General features: G+C 33.6%; 1 protein-coding gene across 18 annotated transcripts in view; it reads left to right on the forward strand.

Annotated features, from left to right (window-relative positions):
• Positions 1–18,696, forward strand: part of METTL25 (methyltransferase like 25) — a 120,711-nt gene that overhangs the window by 75,892 nt on the left and 26,123 nt on the right. For 8 of the 18 annotated variants that reach the window (NM_001319675.2, NM_001347934.2, NM_032230.3 and 5 more), the window contains 2 exons: positions 275–304; positions 4,298–4,371. In NM_001319675.2, the coding sequence (NP_001306604.1) occupies positions 275–304; positions 4,298–4,371 (104 nt within the window). Of the gene's footprint in view, positions 1–274; positions 305–4,297; positions 4,372–18,696 lie in introns of those variants that run through there. The other 10 variants (NR_144943.2, NR_144942.2, NR_144941.2 and 7 more) reach the window with 2 other exon arrangements.

Genomic DNA, 18,696 nt, shown 5'->3' on the forward strand with positions numbered 1-18,696 from the left:
CTTCTGAAATTCAAGGACTGTATATAATTAGAATTGACATTCAAGGATATGTGTTTGTGTATATGACACACATCCATTATAAATTAGCTCTAAATTACACAAGCATATTAGTTAACATTCTTTAATGATATTAACACTGTTAAGTGCATAAACTTACATATTATCACATAATTAATCTTTCTAAATGTCAGTTTTACAAACTCTTATACAGTGTGTTTATAAATCTTATAAGACTCAATATATCAACAATCTGTCTTGTTTTTTTCCCTTTAAGGCATTGGAGCGGGTTGCAGCTGGCCAAGGGGTAAGTAAGAGTGTTAACTGATGAACACGACAGTTTTTCTCTCAAGTACTCTTCATACTTGACCTGCTGATGAACTTAAAACCTAATGGAATTTAATAAATATCTTGTCCCAGATGCATATTCAAATTTGTGCATTTTCTGTAAGTTTACTTTAAAAGCAAAATGAACTTTTCAGAACTTTTGAGCTTTTAGGAAAATGTCTGCATTATGCTCTTATACTACTCATTTCTTTGTATTATACTAAACAGTCTATAAATATTTCTGAAGAATGCTGTTGTTGACAATTAGGTTTTTAGGTGCTTAGTTCAAGCAAAGATAACCTATATTATTCAGTGCATTATTTTAACTATAGTCCAAAACACATACTTCAGTTGATTGTTTGATAAATTTTTTCTTTACTGACTTGATTAACCATTAGTTGCAGTGGCCAAATGGGTTTGCACTTAGAGATAGAAGTTAAATATAATCCCCCAAATATCCATGTAATTGTCTTATCCTTTACCTTGTATTCAGGAAACATTAAGATTTTTTTAAGAGTTTTTGGACCCTTTCATAAAATTTTTAAATTTAACCTAAAGTTTAGAAATATTTCTTTTGCTTTTGTTCAAGGAACATTAATGTGTCAATTTGAATTGTTAAAAATAATAATTTAAAAAATAATTTTAATAACAAGTATCATTTACTGAGTGATTACCCTGGGCCAGAAACATTGTTAAGCATTTTGTATGTAATTATCTTTTTAATATATACACTGTGCCTATCTTAAAATTGATAAAATCTGATTCTTTTGAAGGCATTAGCGTTAGAGCATATCATTTGAGTTTGGGGACTTTAAGTGTGTGGGACTTTAGTTACAAACTACTGGTTTGCATCATGTCTTTATCACTTACTAGTTCATAACCCTGGACACATGTCATCATTTCTCTGTAGCTTAATTTCTTTATCTGTAAAATAGGGAAAAAAAGTGGAGTGATAATAATACCTTCCTATAGGGTTGTTAGGATGAAGTGAATGAAAAATGTACAATGCTTAAAACAATGTCTAACACATAGTAATTGCTCAATAAATGCCAACTGTTGTTGCTGTTATAGATAATTAATAATTATGATCATGAAAATAATAGCTAAATTTAATACAGAGCTTACCAAAGTACTATTTAAAGATCTTCTCATCAATTGAGATAATAAATACATAGTACTATATAGTATGTACTCTTACTATCCCATGATACACATGAAGAGACTGTAAGGTAACAAAGACTAAGACTTGAATCTCTGAGTCTGCAGTTCAAGCTCTTAACTACTATACTGCATATCAACTTAATGGTTTTCTAGAGGTCTGGGGGAAAAAAGAGAGCTTTTATCATAATACTCTAATGCATTCATGTGGTGTTTTTTTAATTTTACAAGTGTTTGCTCATACTTACACTCAATCTTATTAGTTGGGTATTATCCTAAACCTGCATGAGAATGATATAGAGCAAAAGTTTAATAGTGTGTTCTAGTTCCCTTAATTAATTGCAGAGCCCTGACTTCCAACTTAGTGCCCTTTCCACTAGACCTGTAAAATGCATGTCTGATACACATGCTTTAAGGGTATACACTTTGTGTTCCCTCCCATTTTAAAAATGCATTAAAATGTTAATGTATCACTTAAGGGAAATAAAGTAAACTCTGGCCACATCCAGTTTGTTCTTGGAATAGTCAGGCACAGACTGTTCAGGAGATACTGATTCCCTTTCCACTTACCCATTTGTATTTACCAGGATAGGTAGTCCGACTTAGTTATTCCAGTAATGCACATTTGAAGGTATTTTATAACCTCTTCCCTTTCTCTTAGGAAACAGCTGTAAAGCTCTTATTTACTCAGAGTAACTTGAGAATGATGACTTATTCTGTTCTGCTGTATTTTTCTGTGCATTCATTTTTTTATGTTATCTTGTTTAAAATGAACTTGTTCTTTTTTGTTGTATTTTACAATCATTTTAATAACAATATAAATACATATTTATTTCAAAGTTATCTTGATACCATTTAATGTAATTTGTTCAAAGGCATGAGAAAGAAGAGATTTTAACTATTTTTAGGCGTTTCATATAAAATTAAACTTACCTATTATAGCTAGTCAAACCAAAAGTTAAGAACTTTGTAAGCCATTTATAGTACTAATATTTAAATTCATGCAATAGTAGACTTGCGAAAGTGACTTTGAATTTCAATAAAATGTTATAGGAATAGGTATTAATATTGAAAATGTATTTCAGCATTTTTATGAGATAAATGAAAGGATTTTTAAGAAAGTGGGGGACAGATGATAAAGTAGAGATTTTGGTGCTGTAGAAAAAGTTATTCAAGATGAGAAAATCTCAAATGGAAAATATATCCAGAGATTAAGAAATTCTAAATGAAATGTTTTGATGTAATTTTTAAGGAAAGTTAAGTTTTGAAATCCATCGTTTTTTCCTCAAGTGAAGGCATTTGTGACAAATTTGGAAAGAGATTTTATATAAGAATTGTGCCTTTGAAAAGTTACAAATTTTAGTGTGGGCACTCAAACATGTATATGAGTCTACCTTCAGTGAATTATTTTAGCAGTTATTTGGGGACTGTGATATTTGTAACACCATCCCCACTATTCCTGCTTTACAGTGGTAGAACCTGTATTCTTTCACAATGCTCTAAGAGTCTACAAGTCTGTGTTCACTAGCGACTTCAGAGGGCAGTGCCATCAGGGGAAGATGTAAGGAAAATGATTGACCCTCAGCTCACAACTTTTAGTTTTTGTAGTCTCAGCAGCACAGTATGGGAAGTTAATGTTAAATAAGGGAGAGGGGCAGTAGAGTAGGTTTTCTGCCTGAGCACGAAAAATTTATTTTGCTATAAACTCCATCTGAATTAATTAAAACATATTTATTCTAGTTGAAAACATGTGAAAATAACAGTTTTGGACTCCAAAGGATAATAAAAGTTACAAAAGGATAACTCCATGGATATACACGTTTTACTGAATTATATCTTTAAAACTTTACCAGTCATTGGACAGTTTTCAGTTTTACCTTATTTGACTTCTTAAAAGCATTCCGTATTGTTGTCCTCCTTCTATTCTTACTCATTTTTTAAAAAAATAATAACTACATGCAAGCTGGGTTGTTGTTGCTGACATTATTTTGTGTTGGATGTTCCTATACTATCAATATCGAGATCTGTGGGGATGTGCATAGGGTTTTGGTGACTTGTTTCTTAGTTTGAGTAATTCTGTTGCTGCAGTGAAGTGCTCTTTTATAAATAGTAATGTTTTACTTTCTGCTCTTTTAAAACAATCGTGCTTCATTGGAGCCCTTCTCTTCAGCTATTGCTTCTTTCCATTCAAAAACCTTTGAACCTTTATGGGACATCTCCCATATCTCTTTCTGCAAGAAGTGAAGCATTGTCAAGAGTGCAATCTCTTATCCTATGTTCTTTCCAAGGCTCTACTTTTCAACTCTGTAGTAACCAGTACTGTCTTTCAGACCTCAGACAATCTTTGTATTTCTTTACTTAGGGTAGTTATTTCTTTCTTGTTGTGACTCCTAGCTGTTATTATCTTTATTCCACCTCCATTAAGACAAATCTACATTCTCTTCTTTTTCACACATATCCTTCCTGACTCTTAAATGCTCCAGAGCTGACTTGGTTGGTCTTGAAAGTATTTCTCATTTTTAACTGGTAAGGACTCTATTTGGGCATTAGCTTATTGTTCATTGATTATAACTTTTCTTTCTTATTCACTACTGTTTCTTTTATGGTTTCTTTTTTTTTTTTTTTCAGAATTACTTTCACAATGAGAATTAGCCTCAGGGTAACACTTTCGCTCGTAATGGAAAAATTATTAAGTCATCCTCTGTGTTTAGCAACAAAGGTTTCTGACAGTCACGTGTGGTTCCAACATTCTGGTATTTATTTTATTTCTGTTTTTTTTGTTTCTTGTGCTTATATATGTCTACATTTTTTTCAGCTGCCTACTGAATCACTCTTCTATCGTGCTGTTCTTCAGGATATTATTAAAGATTGTTATGGCATCACCAAATGGTATGAGGATTTTATTTTAATAAGAATAACTATGTTATATTGTAAGTAAAGTGACTTTTAGTCTTCAGGTGAATTTATGCAGGGTCACTGTTATTAGTAGAAGCAACTTTGAATTTGAGCATAATGTCAATAACAAGTACACAACAACTGTATCTTAGGTTAATTATCATTAAAGTGGGGGCTCTAATGATTCCTTCTTGTCCTGAAAGCTTGTTGTAATGATAAAATAATCTATGTAAAATGTACTTTAGAATTTTTGAAGTATTAAAATATTAAATAGTTCAGTGACGATATTATATGAGCAAGAGTCATATTTAGAATGTTTCATAAACAGCATAACACTTTAATTAGAACAGATATTGATCATAAACAACTATTATAGCATAAACACTTAACTCTAATTAGAACAGATATTGATCACAAACAACTATTATAGCCCTTCAGGTCTCTGCTAGTAGAATACTAGCACTACATATGTTTTGTTTTATTCCTGTTGCCCCTAAATAATGCACTATTTATACAGAAAAGCAAGGGGTAGGATAATTTTTTTCATAATATTGGTTCAACAACTGTTGTATTCAAGCATACATTTGTAATTCTGGCATGCTTTATGAATGTTCTCTTGCTAATTACAATTTTAGGATTCTGATAGTTATTTGGTATAATAGGATTATTCTACAAATTAAAATAAGGCAATTTTCAGGTTCTCAAAAATAATTCACATTTATGAAAAGATATAAAAGGGATTTTTAGATTAGCTATTACTTCTCTGTAAGAAAAAATATCCACTTTTTACGGATAGAAGTTACTACATACAAGTACCTACACAGACTGTTTTCAACTGTCATTCCTATGTAGATAACTCCCAAATCTGTATCTCAGTCTCCATTCTCTTTTCCAAATCATCAAAATGTCTAAAACTGAATTTTTCATGTGCTCCTGAAAACTAGTTCCTTCTCTTATATTTACCCTAAGATGCTAACCTTGTTGAAAAAAGCCATAAAATTGTGCAAATTCATGTCAACTCAAATATTTACTACCTGCCTTCTTTAAAGACCTCAGATCTGTTCATGTGTTTATTTCCTTTATGACTTCTTAAATTTGTTTCTGTTCTTTTCTAAACCTTTCTTCTCACTTAAAAACTCAATACTTTCCAACGCTCCACATGCCTGTGTTCCTTTAGTATTCAGAAGACAGCTCGTATTTATTAGAAGACTTTTCTTCCTTAGCCCCATTGACCTTTTAGTCACATTTGACCATGTCGGTAATTGTTTTTTCTCTAAAATCTCTTCCTCATTATCTTCCATTATTCTGTATTCTCTGAGTTTCATTTTTCTACTCTGAGCACTCATATGTTTTCTTCACAGTTTCTTATTATTCTATCCCCTAGTTATATCTAGCCATTCTTTAATGTTTTATATGCAGCTCCTATCTCTATATTTCCTCTTTCTCTTAGGATCCTTACTACAAATGACTCTTGAAATATGTAACTAGCTCCCATCTCTTTTTCAGAAGTCCACATCCACTTTCTCATTTTCATCTGAATAACTTCACTTAAATACCTCACAAATACATCAGTCAGCTACCTCCAAAACCAATGTTCTCTTCCCACCAATTCTATTCTTTTCTTCTTTCTCTTGACTTCTAATAAACAGGTGTTATTTCTGGAAATGACATGACCGTTATCAAACATTAGAAGTCTAGAAATGATACTTGATTCTACTTTTATCATCAGACCACATAATTAGTTATCAAGATTTGTACATGTTATTTTTTTTTAATCCAGAATTTATTTATTGTGTGACAGGCAACATGTTAGGTCCTGGGGATTCTGGATGCATAGGTAATGGTTTCCACACAAGAACAATTTATGTTCTAGTCAGGATGGCTTATGTGAAAACCAAACGAAATGATTGAAGCCTGCTTTCAATAACATACTAAATAATTAGGACTAACCTCACTTCTGAGGAAACAAAACCATGCCAGAGATGTGTGTGCACATGCGTGTGTGTGTTTAAATTTGTTTTTACTTGGTTTGTGAACATCAGAGACCTATTGAAGTAGGTAAGAATTATGGGACAAAAATCAAAGAGGAAATGGGATTTCAACAGAAGTAAACCCAGCTTTTATGGCTGCACTTTCCCCAGCAGGATCTGTCAGTTCTGGAATAGGCAACTGTCCACCCATCAACAGAGAGGGTGAGCACAGCTTTCAATAGAAAGACAGTTCTAGTGAAACAAAAGTTCGAGTTCATGGTCTGGTGAGGACTTGGGAGCAAGCCAAGTAAACCACTCATACTTTGAGTTAGGCCCCTAAAGATTTATACTGTAAGAGTTAAGAGTGAACTAGAATAGTCCTGAAATGAGTAAAGCCCCATTTTGAATTATCTCAAGCTGCAATTAAAGTATTTCAGATTATTGCTTCTGCTAGCTGCCTACAAGAAATAAATTCCCTCTGGACAAAATAATGTAAATCTAAGCCTCAAATTATCACTAACATCTTATATATATATATATAGTACCTTACAAAACCAATCCCAAATAACTAGCTATGTGATGAAACAAGACAACATGACCAAAATCAAAGATAAACTACAGTCAACAGAAATGTACCCTTAGGAAAGCCAGAGAAAGGCTTAAAATAACTATACTTGAGAGAGTTCAACTCTGGAAATATAGAATAGATGTACTTTTCTCTGTTTTTCCTGCTAAGTACAACTAAATCCCCGAACATTATGTATAAAATGAATACAAAAAGACAAAAGGTAAAGAGAATAGAGCAGACTGGCTAGGGGTTTCCGGACCGAAGGAACAACACAGTACGAGTCCCCCGGGTTTTCTTTTTGTTTCATAGAGCCCAGGATTGGAGTTGAAAAAGGTAGTAATCTAGAACCACCAATAGGCACAGAAAAAAAAAGAAATTTCAAATGAAAACTGAAAGACCAGGAAGCGGGCAGGCCTAGAAAAACTTTTATGCATTACTGCCATACTATAGCAAAAAAAAAAAAAAATAGAAACACACACACACACACACACACACACAGAAAAACCTGTGACTCCACTCTCACCTATGCCAACAAAGGCAAAGAAGTACAGAGCCTGCACTTTCATCCTTGCCAGGCTGTAATGAAACTCCCTTATAACCCGTTTGTGGAGGTATTAGATAAGGCTGAGTAGGAAACTAGGACTTGTATCCAACTGCGATAAAAATTAACGCAATACCACTACCACAGTGTCATACAGACCATGTGAGAGGCCTGCACTTCCTACCCAGCCAGCCATATGACACCCCTCGTTTCCCCTACTAGGGTGGTTGGTATCAAGGAAGGCCTAGTAGAGAGTTAGGACTTTCACCATCACTCAGCAGTAACAAGGTAACCCCTATCAGGGTGTCAGTGGAGATCACATGGGAATCTGGAAGTCCCAGCAATAAAAAAGACCTTTAATAATCAATAGAAGCTGACTTACCTTTATACAAAAACTTGTACAGAAATGTTTGTAGCAGCTTTATTCCTGGTCACCCAAACTGAAAACTACCCAGATGTCCTTCAGTGAGTGAGTATTTAAGCAAACTGTAATAATCCATGCCATGAAATACTAAGCAATAAAACAAAAAGTATTGTGGATACACACAACAACCTGAGTGAATCTCCAGAGAATTATACTGAATGAACAGAAGCCAATCCCAAAAGGTTATATACCATATGATTCTATTTATATACATTCTTGAAATGACAGAATTATAGAATGACAAGGTATTAGTGGTTGCTGAAGTAGGAAAAGAGGGTGGAGTAAGCAGGAAGTGCATATGGCTGTAAAACAGCAACATGAGTGATCCTTGTGGTGATGGAAGTGTTCTGTATCTTGGCTGCATCCACGTCAGTATCCTGAATATTACTGTCATGAGACATTGTGGAAATTCAGATGAAGAGTACACCAGTCCTTATTCTTTCCTACAACTGTATGTGATTTTATAATTATTTTAAAATTGAAAGTTTAATTTAAAGAACTATGCTCAATATGCACATTGAAATAAAATATTTTTTGTCAGAGAACCAAAACATTAAAAAAATCCCAATGAAAATTCTAGAACTGAACAAGAAAATGACTAAAATCAAGAAATTTATGGATAGTCTTAACAGCACTTTAGACACAGCTAAAGAAATAATTAATGAACTGAAAGATCAGAAGAAAATATCTACAATGAGGGATCAAAAAACAAAAAAAAAAGCTAGAGAATAGAAAACAAAGACTAAGAGCTATGTGGAATACAGGGAATAGGTTTCATGTATATATTAACTGCAGTCTGAGAAGAAGATGAGACAGTGAATGGGGCAATAGCAATATTAAGAATTTTTCAATCCTGACAAAAAGATATCAATCTTAAGATTTGGGAAGTACACAAATCTTATGATGAAGTAAAAAGAAAAGTTCTAGACACGTAAGAGTAAAATTGCTGAAAATAAAGACAAAGGGAAAATTCTTAAAGCAGCCAGAGGTGAGAGGAGTGAAGGAGGGAAGCAGAATACCCCTAAAGGAACTAAACTAGTCTACCAGCTGAATTCTCAGCATAAACAGTGGAAGCTAGAAGTCAGTGATGTCTTCAAAGTGCTGAAAGAAAGTAGCCTACAGCCTACACAGCCTATCTGAAAATACATTGTCAGAGGAGACCAAAAAAAAAAAAAAAAAGAAAAAAAAGAATGCAGTATGCCTAAAAAATAACCTCAAAAGAGTAAATTTAAGTCATGGCATTAGTCCATTTCTATGTGGCTATAAAGGAATAACTAAGGCTGAGTAATTTATAAAGAAAAGAGGTTTATTTGGCTCACAGTTAAGCAGACTATACAAGAAGAATGGTCCCAACATCTCCTTGGCTTATGGAGAGGGCCTCAGCTGCTTTCATTCATGACAGAAGGCAAAGTATAGACAGCATGTGCAGAAACCACATGGCAAGAGAGGAAGCAAAACAGAGGGGAGGTGCCAAGGCTCTTTTTAACAACCAGGTCTTGTGGAAACTAATAGAGCAAGAACTCACTCACTGTCCCCCAACCCAGGAGGGCAATAACTTATTCATGAAAGGTCTGCCCCTATGGCCTAAACTTTTCCCATTAGGCCCCACCTCCAACATTGGGGATCAAATTTCAACATGAGGTTTGGAAGGGTCAAATATTCAGACTATAGCAGCCTTCAAAATGGAGTTGAAAAAGTGCAGAGGATAGAGAGCTTATTCAAGGAAATAATACAGAAAACTTTTAAACTCAGAAAATGATACAAATACTTCAATGTAGGAAAGTTAAAGACTTTTGCACTCAACCCAAATAAGACTACTGTAAGACATATAATAATCAAAATCTCAAAAGTAAAAGACAAAGAAAGGATCAAAAAAGCAGCAAGGGAAAAGCAGCTCTAATTCATCTGGCAACAAACTTCTCAGTGGAAAATTCAGGCCAGGAGGAAGTGGGAGGACATTCAAAGTGCCAAAGTAACTGTCAACCGATAATATGGTGGCCAGCAAAGCTATCTTTCAAATATGAAGGGAGATACTCTCCCAGATAAACAGAAGCTGAAGGAATTTATTACCACCAGAGGTGTCTTACAAGACATGCTAAAGGGAGTTCTTCAGTCGGAAAGAGAAGGATGCTAACATGCAACAGGAAAATCAGCTGAAGGTATAAAACTCATTGGTAAAAGTAAGTACACAGACAAAATTCCGAAGACTCTTAATACTGTAAATGTGATACGCCACGCAATTCATATCCCTGGTATAAAGGCAAAAAGACATATATCAAAAATAATAATCATAACATTTGTTAAGAGATAGGCATAAAAAAGTAAACAGACATCAAAAAGTCAAAATGTGGGGGTGATGGAGTTATAGAGGTTTTTTTAGCTTTTTTATAGTAACAAAATGGCAGTAGTAATTCCTTACCAATCAATAGCATTGAAAGTAAATTGACAAAATTATTAAAAGATATAGAGTAGCTAAATGGATCAAAAAAACAAGACCCAGCCATTCTTACATGCTACCTACAGGAAGCTCACTGCACCTGTAAGGACAACACACATAGACCAAAAGTACAGAGATGGAAGAAAGATACTCCATTCAAATGGAAACCAGGTATTGCTATATACAGTTACCCTGGAACAACACAGAGTTGAATATACCAGACTCTATAGAATTCAGCAAAAGAAATATTAACAGCAAAGTGTATAACATGTACATCAAGAAAAGTAGAAAAACTTGAGAGAAACGACCTAATAGTATACCTCCAGGAACTAGAAAAGCAAAACCCAAGTGCAAGTCCACTTATATGCAGTATTTTTTTAATAAGTACATTGGAAAATATATTTGAGACCTGTGACAATTGAATAAACTCACACACAAACCATGTAGCCTAAAAATATCAACAAATTAAGAAAATGAGGTCTATCTTGAATGCATAAAATATATACATATTGTTTACCATTTACTACCATAAAATATATACAAATCTATAATAAAAGTCAAAATTTATATAAAAACATGCACACAAACACAGACAATATGTGGCACTATTCACAGTCAAGAGAAATGTAAACTAATGTAAGTATGAAATATTAAATTATAACCACATTAAATTAGCTATAGTATATAGTGTAATAATTTTATAGCCACCTCTTATTAGCATTGTATTGAGCTCAAGTGTTGCGAGTATTCGTTTAAAACACTTTGTGTTGCAAATCTCTGTGAGCAGTTTGTTTCTCCAGTGGACTGTGTATCAGTAAAAAGTGATCTCTCACAGTTCTTGTCTATTTTTCGTTGTCTTTAGGGCAGTACCATAAACCTTGAATAACAATACCATGATATCCTTATTAAGTGCCATTAGTGATCCTGGAAGTGCTCCCGATATGCAGAGAAGTCATGACATTACAAGAAAAAGTTGATTTGCTTGATATGTACTATAGATTGAGGTCTGCAGCTGTGGTTGCCCACCATTTCAAGATAAATGAATCCAGCATAAGGACTACTGTAAAAAGAGAAAAAGAAATTCCTAACACCTTTGCTGCAGCTATAACAGCTTGTGCAAAAAACTTGTACTATCTGTGAAATACAAATATGTTTTAATTCACTATGATATCGGTAAAGCTTCCGGTCAAAAGTACACTAGTAGTAGTTAAGCTTTGGAGTAGTCAACAGTTACATGCAAATTTTTTACTGCATAGGATGTCGGCACCCCTAATCCCCATGTTGTTTAAGGGTCAGCTATACTTACGTCACATAAAATAGACTTCAAGCCAAAAGAGACAAAGAAGGTCATTATATAATGATAGGCAGGTAAGTTCAGCAGGATATAACAATTGTAAATGTATGTGCACCCAGCACCAGAGCATGAAAATATATAAAGCAAATATTAATAGATCTAAAGGGAGAGATAGATTGCAATACAATAATAATAGGGGACTTGAACACCCCACTTTTAGTAATGTACCGATTAGCCAGACAGAAATATAACAAAGAAACTTTGTGTTAAACTACACTGTAGAACAACTGGACCTAACTGACATTTACAGGACATTTCATCCAATTGCTGCAGCATATATATCCTTTTCATCAGCACATGGATCATTACCCAGGATCATATGTTAGCCACAAAACAAGTCTCAACCAATTCAAAAAAGTAGAAATCATATCAAGTATCATTTCTGACTACAATGGAATAAACCTAGAAATCAATAACAAGAGAACCTTTGGAAACTGTACAAATACATGGAAATTAAACAACATGACCCTGAATGACCAACGGGTCAATTAAGAAGTTAAAAAGGAAATTTTAAAATTTCTTTTTTTTTTTTTTTTTGTTTTTGAGACAGAGTCTCGCTCTGTCGCCCAGGCTGGAGTGCAGTGGTGCAGTCTCGGCTCACTGCAACCTCCGCTTCACGGATTCAAGCTATTCTCCTGCCTCAGCCTCCCCAGTAGCTGGGATTACAGGTGTAAGCTACCACACCCGGCTAATTTTTGTACTTTTAGTAGAGACGGGGTTTCACTATGTTGGCCAGGCTGGTCTCAAACTCCTGACCTCAGGTGATCTGCCTGCCTCGGTCTCCCAAAGTGCTGGGATTACAGGCATGTGCCACCACGCCCGGCCTTAAAATTTCTTGAAACAAATGAAAATGAAGACAACATACCAGACTGTATAGTATTCAGCAAAAGAAACATTAAGAGCAAAGTATATAGCAATAAACACCTACATCAAAAAAGTAGAAAAACTTGAAATAAATGACCTCAAGGAACTAGAAAAGCAAAAACCAAATCCAAAATTCTAAAGAAAGAAATAATCAAGATCAGAGCATAAATAAATAAAATTGAGACTGAAAAAAAACCCACGGAAGATCAATGAAATGAAAACAACTTAGCATTATCTAATAAAATGGAAAATATATATACATGCCTCAGCAGTTTTACACCTAATTATATATATATTAGACAAAGTCTTACATGTTTGCTTCTAGAAACTTTTACAAGAATGATCAATAGCAGCAATGTTTATAAAAGCAAAAATCCAGGAACAAAAAACTCATTAATAGAAGAATGGATAAATTGTATTACATTCATGTATATAGAAGTATTTTATATACCACAATGCAAATGTATGAATTACAGCTACATGCATCAATGTGGTTGAATCTTGTGAATATAATTTTAACTGAAATCTCAGAAAAACTCCTATAAAATGGTTCCACTTATATAATTCAGAAAAGAGCAAAACTGAATAATTTAGGAGTATAAATATGTGGTAAACAAGCAAGAACAACATAAGTAAGGTAAACACAAGATTCAATGTCATAGTTTCCTGTGGGAGTTGCGGGGAGCAGTGGATTATTAGGCAGAATGATAAGGTAGGGAAGAGGAGAAGTACATATAGAAATCAAGGTATTTAATACTAGTAATGTATTTCTCAAGTTTGATGTTGGGTACAAGAGTTTGTTTTATTTACATTCTTTATGCCTTACACATGTTTTGTAAACGCTTATTGCTTTTGTTCAGTATCACTAAAATATTGATCTTTTATCAGGCTATACCCCACAGTCAGTTGAGCCACATATTATACTCCAATATCTAATATAGGCACCTCATTATAATGATAAGAAAAATTAAAATAAGTGGTTAAAAGCTTGTCTAAAGTCATATAGCCTGAAAGAACCAGGATCAGGACTAAATTCACAGTCCAGAAAGATTTTCACCATCCCATTCTTGTTTTTAATGGTAAATTCTCTTTGAGATATTTTTAATATGAGTTGATTTGCAAGGCTCTTTGTATTAGCATTGTAAATCAAGGTTATTGGAATTACTGGCCAGCAATAGTACTAAAGACAGAAAATAAGGTCACTTAATTACTTCTTTTCCATTTTCTTTATTTTTCTTGCTAGCTAAAATAAATCATCTTCCAGTAATAATACTGTTTTAGAATAATTGAAACATTATCCTGAAAGTTCTTTAAGTGTAATTGTTTATATAGCCTAAGGTTAGAAGTAAGCCTTTTTCAGGGATTTAAGGATAACATTTTAACTTTATTATTTATAATTGTGATTTAGCCCATTTATGTTAAAACTCAATAATTTATGGAAATTTATTTACAATTAGTACTTATCTATAATAGAAACTTTCTAAGGGGAATAAAATGCCAAGGAAGGAATTTCTTGGATTAAAAATCTCTTTTAAAACACTTGGAAAGAAAACAGGGAAAATCCAATTTGTACACTTTTTTCACTTTATTATTCTCTTGCATAATAAGAAATGTATACAGCTATACAAAAAATATATATAGTATTTTGCTACCTATAATTATGTTACCTAGTTTAATTTTAATTGTGATTTTGTTATAATCAAATAGGAAAGTGATCTTAAAAACTATCTCACAAAATTAAAGATAATCATTTAATCCATAATGTGTGGTCAAGTTGAAATTAGAAGGTATCTTTTAAACTGAAAAGTAACTTGAAGATTTTTTGGAGCTCCCTTAAATGATAGCTATTTACAGCAAAATTTTATGTTGATCTTTTAAGTCTTTCAATATGTATTAGCATACAAAAGGCACAAAATAATAATAATGTTACAATAATTTCATAAATATTTTGTGATTATGGAGAAACTGAATTTTGGTACAATCTGTCCTGCATGTGTTTGCTTTCATTTATTTAGTATACCTCTGCTTCACCTTTCTCTAAAATCTCCCTCCAAAATGCTGCTTCCTTGGAAAGTGTTACAAGTAAACCATGTTCTTACAATTGCATTTTTGGAGAAGCATGTGGGTGTTGTTGGATTCACTTGAGTAGAATTTTAATTAGATCCAGTGCATTCACTTTTATTAAAAGAAAGTATACTGATTCCTTTTTAGCATGCTGACCATGCTTTATTCTGACAGAGAGGCCCTTTTTAATCTGTTCTTAACTTCTCATCATTTGTCTTTCCCAAATAGTCATGTCACTTTTCTAAGTTTCAAATGTTTGCTAATAATTCTTTATGCCCAAACCTAAACTATTATTGTGGCATTCAAGGCCATTTCAAATCTGTTATTAATTTTCATTCCAGCCTAATCCATCATCCCATTCTTCCTGTGCACCATGAACAGCTGCCCATGCACACCGTCCTGGCACGCCAGATTATTCATCATTTCCCATGCCATTATTTTTACACTTTGTGTGTTTTCTTGGAGTTGTTCTCTCTACCTGGAATATTCTTCTCCCTATTTCTGCCATCCTTTCATTCCAGGACCTCTGGAAGGTGAAATTCTGGGTTTTTTAAAATCCAGTTTAGAAGACATCTCTGTGATAGCTTTCTTTCCTCCTTTTCTTCTTTTTCTGTTCTCCTGTAATACTTAAGCTGTGATTCACTGTTCTTACTGAACCTGAATAATACAATTAATTGTATTTCTACTCCTCTGCTACCTTCTGAGCTCCTTGATGACCATTTTTTCAGTTTTATTAAATGAAATGGTGTATCATAGTGCTTAAGAGCACAGATTCTAAAAATCCTCTGCACCCAATTTTCCCCTCTAACCACTGTCCTATGTTGGTTCTTTCCTTTATAGCAAAATTCCTTGAAAGTGCTGCCAATTTCTTTCCCATTTCCCTTTAAACATGTTTCAGTAAGATTTTATTTCCATCACTCCAGCAAACCACCCTGTTCTGGAACATGAATGACCCTATGTTGTTAAATTGCGTGATCCATTCTCAGTCCTCTTCTTACTTTGCCTGCCATTAGTATTGCACCCAATTTTCCACTCTTTATTGAAACACTTCTTTCTCTCATATTCTAGGGAAAGACTCAGAATATACTCACCTTTCACTCTTGTTCTTTTTCCAGTTTTCTTGCTGATTTCTCATTTTCAAACCTCTAATTGTTGAGGTGGCTTTTTTTTTCTGTCTATACCTACTACATACCTTATTTCATCCCATCTGGTGGCTTTAAGTATCATCTATACTGGTGAATCCCAAATTCACCTGTTAATGACAATCATATTCTTCCAGGTACTCAGACCAGAAATCTTTAAGACATCCTTGACTCTTCTTTCTCACTGCCTAGGTTCAATCTTTCAGCAACTTTATAACCTCTCCCTTCAGAATATATGTAATTTTTTTTCACTTTTCACCGTCCTCAGGACCATCACTCTGGTCCAAGCCATCATCATCTTTCACCCAGATTATTTTAATAATTTCCTAGTTGGTCTCTCTCTTCTACTTTTGCTCACTATAGCCTATTCTTTACACAATAGCTAGAGTGATACCATTGATATTTTTAAGTGGGCTCCTGCTCACAATCTTCCAGTGGCTTCTGTTTACCTCAGAAGTAAAGCTAATGTTTTTCCTGTGATCTGCAAAGCCTTATGTCATCTGGCTCCTCATTTTTTCTCTGACCTCATTTCTACTCTTCCTTTTGTTCATGTCTGTGCCAGATACGCTAATTTCCTTAAAGTTCGTTGAAAATACCAGAAACACTTCTCTACTCAGGGCCTTTAATTATGCCACATTCTCTGCCTGGAATTCTTCCACAGATAGTCTCTTGGTTAGCTCAGCCTCTTTCTTCAGGTCTTTTATTCAAAATTATTATCTTTGAGATATCCACTATTTACCATCACTCCTCTCTAACCTTTCATATCTGCTTTCTCTCCTCTATCACCAGGTTTTCATCAGCTCTTACTATCTAATATATTAATAGTACATGTTTTATTTATTTGTGTTGTTGATCATCTCCCATCTCAAATGATTTTTTGTTTCCTTTCGTTCACCAAGTAATAGAACCAAAGAACCTGACTCCAGAGTATTTTAGAAAAGCTTTTGAAAGAGGATAAATCAGACTTTGATTATTCTGTAACTGTTCTCCAGATTGTTGTCCTAAAGTGCAATGATTCTGTGAAAATACCTGGGAAGAAAAGAATTTCTTAAAAGTGAATGCTTCATGCAGTATCCTCCTCTTTAAGACTTAAGTGCGTATTTATATTTTAAAGACTCCTAATAGTTTGGTGAGAGACAGCAGCGTGTCACCATTAAGAACATAAGCACAGGAGCTCTACTGCCTGGTTTCTAATCCCAGTATCCCCACTGCATCATATCACTGTGGTCGTGGTCATATTATTTTATATCTTTTTGCCTAAGTTTTCCCATCTGTAAATTGGGGTTAATAGCAGTACCTACCTCAAAAGGGTGTTTTGAAAATGAAGCTAAAATCTAAAAAGTACTTACAACAATGCCTGGAACATACTGATTGATTTTTATTATTATTAGAAGAAATCTCTTTACCTCTGTTGAAACCATGCTTACTTGTTCATACAATCTTTCTTCTCCGAACTGTGTATAGACAATTAAACACTGTTTTGTGGAGCCCACTCTGAAAAACACAGGAAAATCATGAAAATAATTATTCTGATTTTTAGGGTCTCATTTGGGATTTAAGTGATTATTTGCCTATCAACTCCAAAGGAAATGACAATAACAAAATAAATATTTTGTCATAATTTTCTTTAATATCACAAATATTGATAGGGAACTATAAAATACTTTCAAGAATTCTTCTGAAATATTAATATGTTTAAATGTTAATATTTTCTTTTAACTACAGTAAACAGTTTATCTTAGGAACACAGTGTGACATCTTTTCTCTTTGGTGAATGGTTTTTGCTCTCCTTTTATTATTTTCTATCATGTCTGTTTAATGACAGAAGTTTCTGTGCCCATAAGGCTCTATGTGTTAAAAATTTCTTCTAGACTGAGCTATTGTTACATTAATACTTCTACATGGAGGCAACATAAAGAAATTATAAGTTTTTATTTTAAATTATTAAATATGAAGAGTAAAACATTATTGGACCAAAATGCCATAAATGATACTCTCAAGAAACTGTAAAGATTTTTGTGAATTTTCTTTTATAGCGCGTTCTCTTATAAATAAGACTGCCATTCCTGAAAAATATAACACACCCCATATTCCTTTTGTGAATAATCCTATTCTGCCCTTTTATTTTCTGTTTAAAGATTCTTTGGCCTACCTCTTTTTCTTCTATTGCTTAACTAATACAATTGCAGTATTTAGCCAGGTGCAGTGGCTCATGCCTGTAGTCTCAGCTACTCAGAAGGCTGAAGCAGGAGAATCACTTGAGCCAATGAGTTTGAGGCTGCAGTGAGCTATGATCATGCCACTGCACGCCTGCCTGGCCAACAGAGCAGGACCCTGTTTCTAAATTACATGAATGAATAAATAATTTTTAATCACAATATTTATCCTTAAAACTATAGACCCTTCTAAATACTAATGAATACTTCCCTTTCCTTGCACCTACAAAAGAGCAATTACATTCTACATCATAAACTCACTTTGCAGATATTATTTTTAAGATTACTTTATGAAATACCAAGCCTTCTAGAAATTGGTCTCATATCATGCAAAAGTAACCTTTAACTTTCAAAGGTTCTAAAGTCTGATTCGTTATACTTAATAGTGGTAATAATACTATACCTGATATTTCTGTTTTCTGAAAAAGTCCCTTTTTTCTTGAGCCATGCACCGTATATTGAATATTTTATTTTATCCTCAGCCTTATGAGATAGATTTAACAACACCATTCTACTGATGATCAAGAAGAGGCAAAGAGGTTGTATAAGGGTAGAGTGCAGATTCAAGCTTGTTTCAGTCTTTAGTTCAAAACCTATACCAACCACTACACTATCGTGCATATACAACATTTAAATAAATGTTTTTTAAAATGAATGAATAAGCAACCTAATTAACATGTATAACATTTGGAAATCATAAACATACTTCCTGGTCCTAATTGCTGATGAGTTTGGGCAA

This window comes from Homo sapiens, chromosome 12 (assembly GCF_000001405.40).
Source record: "Homo sapiens chromosome 12, GRCh38.p14 Primary Assembly".
In the NCBI taxonomy this organism is placed as follows: Eukaryota; Metazoa; Chordata; class Mammalia; order Primates; family Hominidae; genus Homo; species Homo sapiens.